Source organism: Homo sapiens, chromosome 17 (genome assembly GCF_000001405.40).
Source record: "Homo sapiens chromosome 17, GRCh38.p14 Primary Assembly".
NCBI lineage: Eukaryota > Metazoa > Chordata > Mammalia > Primates > Hominidae > Homo > Homo sapiens.
The window spans coordinates 49,456,560-49,462,280 of record NC_000017.11 but is presented as its reverse complement, the minus strand read 5'-3'; the positions used below and the strand labels follow the sequence as shown (position 1 = coordinate 49,462,280).

The window sequence follows — 5,721 nt, the reverse complement described above, 5'->3', positions numbered from 1 at the left end:
GACCAACCTGGTGAAACCCTGTCTCTACTAGAAATACAAAAATTAGCTGGGCATGGTGGCACGTGCCTGTAATCCTAGCTACTCCAGAGGCTGAGGCAGGAGAATCGCTTGAACCTGGGAGGTGGAGGTTGCAGTGAGCTGAGATCACACCACTGCACTCCAGCCTGGGCAACAGAGTGAGACTCTGTCTCAAAAAAAAAAAAGAAAAAAGAAAAAAAAGAAAGACTGCTGTTGTCCAGTGTTTCTGGGGACCTGGTTGCTCCCTGATCCACCTGGGGAGGAAGGAGGAGGGGGTGCGGAATTAGCCCATTACATTATCCCATGAAATGGAGCTGCAGAGTGAGTGCAAGATAGGGGCAGAGGCTGGGGGCAGGAGAGGATGCAGATGTTATTAAGTCCTACCTATACCCTAGGGCTGGCTGAACCTAAACTGTCCTCAGTGCCATGGAACTGAACCTGTGACAACACAATAGACTAAAAATAAACTGGGCATTTACCACTTTAAAGCCTTAGAGCCAAGTCTCCCCATTCAGTTGCAATGCCCCAGTGAGGCAGTAGACTGACCTCACGTGACTTTTGGGAATGAACACTGAGACCATCAACCCTATCAATGAGGGTTATAAAAACAACAACGAAGTACCACCTGACAACTTCAAATTATTTATTGATTCCTGAAAAGGAAAATGAAAGGAAGCTGGCCAAAGCCACGGAGTGCCAGTTGAATAAGTTATCAAGAGTCTTCTTGGATTGACGATGCGGCTCCATTTGCAGCACTTAGCATCTTCTGCCTTGGAGGAGAGCTCCTGGTGGGCGCTCAGCCCACCTGCTTCAACTGCAAGCTCACTGAAGACAGACACCCCAGTTTAGCATGGTGCCCGGCTGGCAGGAGGGCTCTTTTCCTCTTTTGCAGACTGTTGATGCAGCCTCCTAAGTACCCTCTCTGCCTCCCATCTTGGCTCCTCCAGTCCACCCTACAGTCTTCCTAAGACACTGACTGATCGGATCCTCTGACTCTGCTGAAATGCCTCAGGGACTCTCCACAGCTACAGCAATGACTTCCCAAGAGTGCCCTGGGGCACAACAGTCCCAAGAGATGCTCCTGAAGAAACAGCTTAGGGCCAAAATAAATGTAGAAAATGCTCTTTACTGAAGCTCCCCAGCCCTTGGAGATTCACATGCCCTATGAGCATAATCAGGGATCTGAGAAGTCCTGCAAGGTTAGCATGCAGCCAGGTTAGCATATTTGATACAGTTTTCCGAAGCTTTTTCCATCACAGGCAATCTTTTTGCAAGCAATGTCTACAAACAGCCCAAGACATAGTCCCACAGAACATACTTTGGGAAGCAGTGAGCTGCATGGTAGAGCCTGAAGTTCAGTCGGGGAGGGGAAGGGCAGCGGTTGTGTGATGAGTCCCTGCCCAAGGGAACATGGTCTGTGGGAGACTGAGATGGCTCAGGGTGCAAAAGGGAAGGTGCTGGCTGTGTGCAGACATGACAGAGACTTGTGGGTCAGGAAAGTCCATCAGCAGCTCTCCTCTCTGCCTTCAGTCTCTTCATCTAGACACAGATGTCCTGGGCACGTGTGTGTTTCTAGACCTGGCACATCCTGAGTGAATCTTGGCCTCTTAATGAACCCAGCAGCCTCCTGCTGCAGAGTCGCTGAGATGCTGTGCAGTTATGACATATCCTCCCACCACAAAAGAACATTCCAGCTTGTCCAGGGGATGGTCACGGAGGCCAGTGCTCCACCGGATCCCCAGCAGCAGGAGCCTTCTGTGGTAGAAAAAGCATGGGCATCGGAGGCCGAGTCCGGGATTCCCATCCTGATCCATCACTGACTAGGTGCTGTGGGGCCTTGGGTAAGTCACTCAATCTCTCTAAGCCTGTTTCTTCATCTGTAAATGGGGAAATAATAGCTGCCTTCAGGGTTATTGAGCCAGCGTGGTTTGTTGCCCTGGGGTATCAGCCTCACCACCTCCAAAGTTCTCGAAGATCCCCGAAGATAGGATTAAGTCTCACCATTCATTCATTCACTCCATGCAAATACTTGTCAGGCACCTTCCCCATGCTAGGAACTGGGGAAACAGTGCTGAGGAGAAACAGGCTGGGTCTGTGCCTGTGGGGAGCATACCTTCTTGTAGGGATTAGGTAATTCGTTCATTTATTCAATACTGAGCAGCCTCTGTGGGCCAGGCACTGTGCTGGGCTCGGTCCTCCTGTATGTTTTCATACAGAGTTTACAAAGTGTTTACAAAGCACTTTTGCCATCATTGGTTAGTTTGTTCTTCATGACAATCTGACAAGATAGGAAGTAGAGATTACCACCCCATTTGGTAGACAAGGAACTAGAGGATCAGGAAGATCAAGAGGAAAATTGAACTGGGAAGCAAAATCTCTCTTCTCTCCATAGGCATTCACTGGAGGAGCACTCTGGGCCAGGCGCTGTGTTCACAGTGAGATGCAAATGTTCCGTCTGGCTGTGTGGGTGGTGCTGACAGCCATTTGTTTGCCCGTCTATTGCTGTGGTCCCTGTTCCTCTCTGAGGCAATACCCTCCCCCAGCCAAGCCCTCAGCTATGGACTTTCCACACAACATGGAGCACATAAGTTGATTCCTCGAATTCCACACCCTCAGCTGTCACCCTTTGTAGCCCAGGAAATCCTTCCTGCACTTGACTTCAACACCTAAGGCGAAGGTTGGTCCCCCTACCGCCAGGGGCCTCTTTTCGGGTAGAGCAATGCTCAGGGAAGACCAAGATGACTCAGGCCCTCCTCAAATGCCAACATGTGAACCAGAGGCACAGTAGACCCTGAGCTCCCAGCCAAGTGGGTGCTCACTATGGGGGCTACTCTGGGCCTTGGCCAGGGAGGAGCAGGTGGGAGCAGGGAGCAGAGCATGCAGATCTTCCAAAGTGGGTGGAGTTATAAACTGGAGCGGGAGAGGAGGAAAGGGTAATGAAGGGGCTGAATGATGAGCCCACCATCATTTTACTAAAGGCCTGGAAACTGACAGCAACGTGGGATCCTGGAGGGAGGTGCTGAATTGGGGGTGGGGGTGGGGTGTCAATATCACTCAACATCCAACTCACTGTCAGCTTAAATGAGCAAACCCCAGCTGAGCCAGAGAAGACTGACATATCCAGCATTCCCCAAATCCATCTGAGTATCTCCTCCTTCTCTCCACCTCTTCCTTCTCCTCTAGGAAGGCCCCTCAAGTCATCTCCACCCCCACAGGTGTGTTCCCTGTGTGCCTGCCCAGCTCTTGTGCCTATACCCTGCATCCTGGCCACTCCATCTCCCTGTGTTCTGGGCATGCTCTATTTCCTCCATCAGCAAGAAGTGGAGGTTCTTTTTTTTTTTTTTTTTTTTTTTCAGACGGAGTCTCACTCTGTCACCCAGGCTGGAGTGCAGTGGCGCAATCTTGGCTCACTGCAACCTCCAGTTCCCGGGTTCAAGTGATTCTCCTGCCTCAGCCTCCGGAGTAGCTGGGACTACGGGCGCGCGAGACCATGCCCAGCTAATTTTTGTATGTTTTTTTTTAGTAGAGACGTGGTTTCAACACATTGGCCAGGCTGGTCTCGAACTCCTGAAGTCGTGATTCGCCCGCCTTGGCCTCCCAAAGTGCTGGGTTTATAGGCATGAGCCGCTGCACCCGGCCCAGGTTGAGGTTTTTGAAGAGCATCACCTTTGCAGGTACAGAGTATGGAATTTCCTTTGAAGCTCCCTCCACCTGGGCTTTCTTAATTCCCAGGCCACTGCCAGCTTCACCAGATCCTGAACTGTTCTGTGAGGTGTTTACAGCTTTTCTCCTGTGCTCCAGGCACGTGGCCCTCCACCTGGATTCTGTCTGCTCTTTCATCCCCTGGCCCTAGTTCCACCAACAGCTTCCTCCAGCCCTGTTGGCAGCAGTCTAATCTAAATCACGCTCACTGCGGTTTTCAGTACAAGGTTTTATCATCAGGTTCTGTATGGGTATGGGTAGCCTGAAGGATGTGGGGTAGAACCAAGATACAACTACCTGCCTGGGGAGAGCAAGCTGCGCTACTCTCACAGCTCACACCAATGCCTGCCTGAGATAATTTTTGTCTCCGTTAATTCATTTGTCACCAGGAGAAAGTCGAGCTGTTTCTTTCCTCTTTACAGGTGAGAAACGCTGCAGGCAGGAATCCAGCCGTCATTCTTGACACCACCCTTATCTAATCCCCTGCCAACTGCTAGTTCCAGCCAGCATCAGCTCTCTCCTGGACCACTGCCACTACCTCCTAACAGGATTCCCACCTCCACCTCCGCTCTCATTACCCCCGATCTGCAGCCAACTTGAGATGATCATATCACCCCCTCCACACCCAACACAACTCCAAAATGCAAAGAGGCTTCCTCTGTTCTTGGATCAAGGGTTTAAACATGACCTAGAAGCCCTCGCGTTGTCAGTCTCCATCCACCTCTCACTCCTCTCTCTGCACTCCGGCCTTGTCTGCCTTCTCCCAGCACATTGTATATGCTCCCTCCTGCCACAGGACTTTTGCACATACTGTTTCCTCTGCCTGGGCTGTTCTTCCATCCCCTCAGGTTTCAACTCAGACATCACCTTGTTGGGGAAGGCCCCCAGCTTCCCTGGCCGGTCAAATCCCCTGTACATACTCTTAGGGCATCATGTTCTTCGTTTTCTTGGCACTGACCACAGCTGTCATCCTGACTGCATTTGGGTGGCTATTTGATTGATGTCTGCTCCCCATTACACTGCAGGCTCCATGAGGGCAAGAGCCAGCCTAGCCCAGTGCCTGCCACATAGTAGGTGCTCAATAAATAGTTGTTTGAGTGGGGCCTGAATGAGTGAGCAAAGCCTTAACCAAGCCAGGACCAGGAGCTCAGAGCCCTTGGCTCCCCAGGGCGGGAAGACGGTTATTTACCAAGGCAGGACCAGGAGCTCAGAGCCCTCGGCAACCCGGGAAGGGAAGATGGTTAAGTGCCCGAGGCTAGCTGGGGAAGCCACAGTTTGTGCCCTACTGGAAGAGAATGCCACCAGCTCTGTGCTTGGGCCAGCAATTGGTCACTATTTGAAAACAGAGTTTGCCCCATAGCAAGCAGCCCCACAGAGACTGGATGTGGAGGGTGTGGAGGAGGGTGCCAGTTAGAGCAGTGAATCCCGCCACAGTCCCACTGCTGCTGTACTCTCGCAGGGGTCTGGTCTTTGGGTTTTGGGAGCCTAGCGCTTGCTACCTCTTTACTTTTGAGATGGTCCTCCCCAGGCACACCCCAGAGAAGAGAAGTGGGAGGCTTCAGTCCCTTGCTTACATGCTTACAGGGTGGAGGGAAGGTGTCTCTGGTGGGAAGGAGAAGGATGAAGAGGAAGGAAAGGGAAGACAGAAGTGTCCATGAAAAACTCAGTAGAAAGGCTCATGAGAGGCAGGATATTGGCTATTTGGGGAGGCACCTCTAGAAAATGACTCACCCTCCCTTGGTTCTTGAGTGGCCCCAGGGAGGCATCACCATCTCCCTTTTTAGCATCCCTCCCATGGGAAGGGAGAAGGAAAAAGACATCTACTGTCCAGGCAGAGCCAGTCAGACTCCTCTGAGCAATCCTGGAGGGCTTCCAGGAGGAGATGAGCTTTATAGAAGCCACAGGCTACCTGGGAGGGAGATAGTACAGGCAGAGAATCATAGGGAGAGAGGACCACATCCCAGGGTAATAGCTGAGAAGCAGGAGACAGCAAAATAAGGA

At 51.7% G+C, this 5,721-nt stretch overlaps 1 long non-coding RNA gene across 1 annotated transcript; it reads left to right on the top strand.

The window, feature by feature from the left end:
• Positions 1 to 531: 531 nt before the first annotated feature.
• Positions 532 to 4,420, top strand: LINC02075 (long intergenic non-protein coding RNA 2075). Its single transcript, NR_110805.1, has 3 exons — positions 532 to 1,859; positions 3,545 to 3,692; positions 4,143 to 4,420. It is a non-coding gene; the product is annotated as a long intergenic non-protein coding RNA 2075 (long non-coding RNA).
• The last annotated feature ends 1,301 nt before the right edge of the window (positions 4,421 to 5,721 follow it).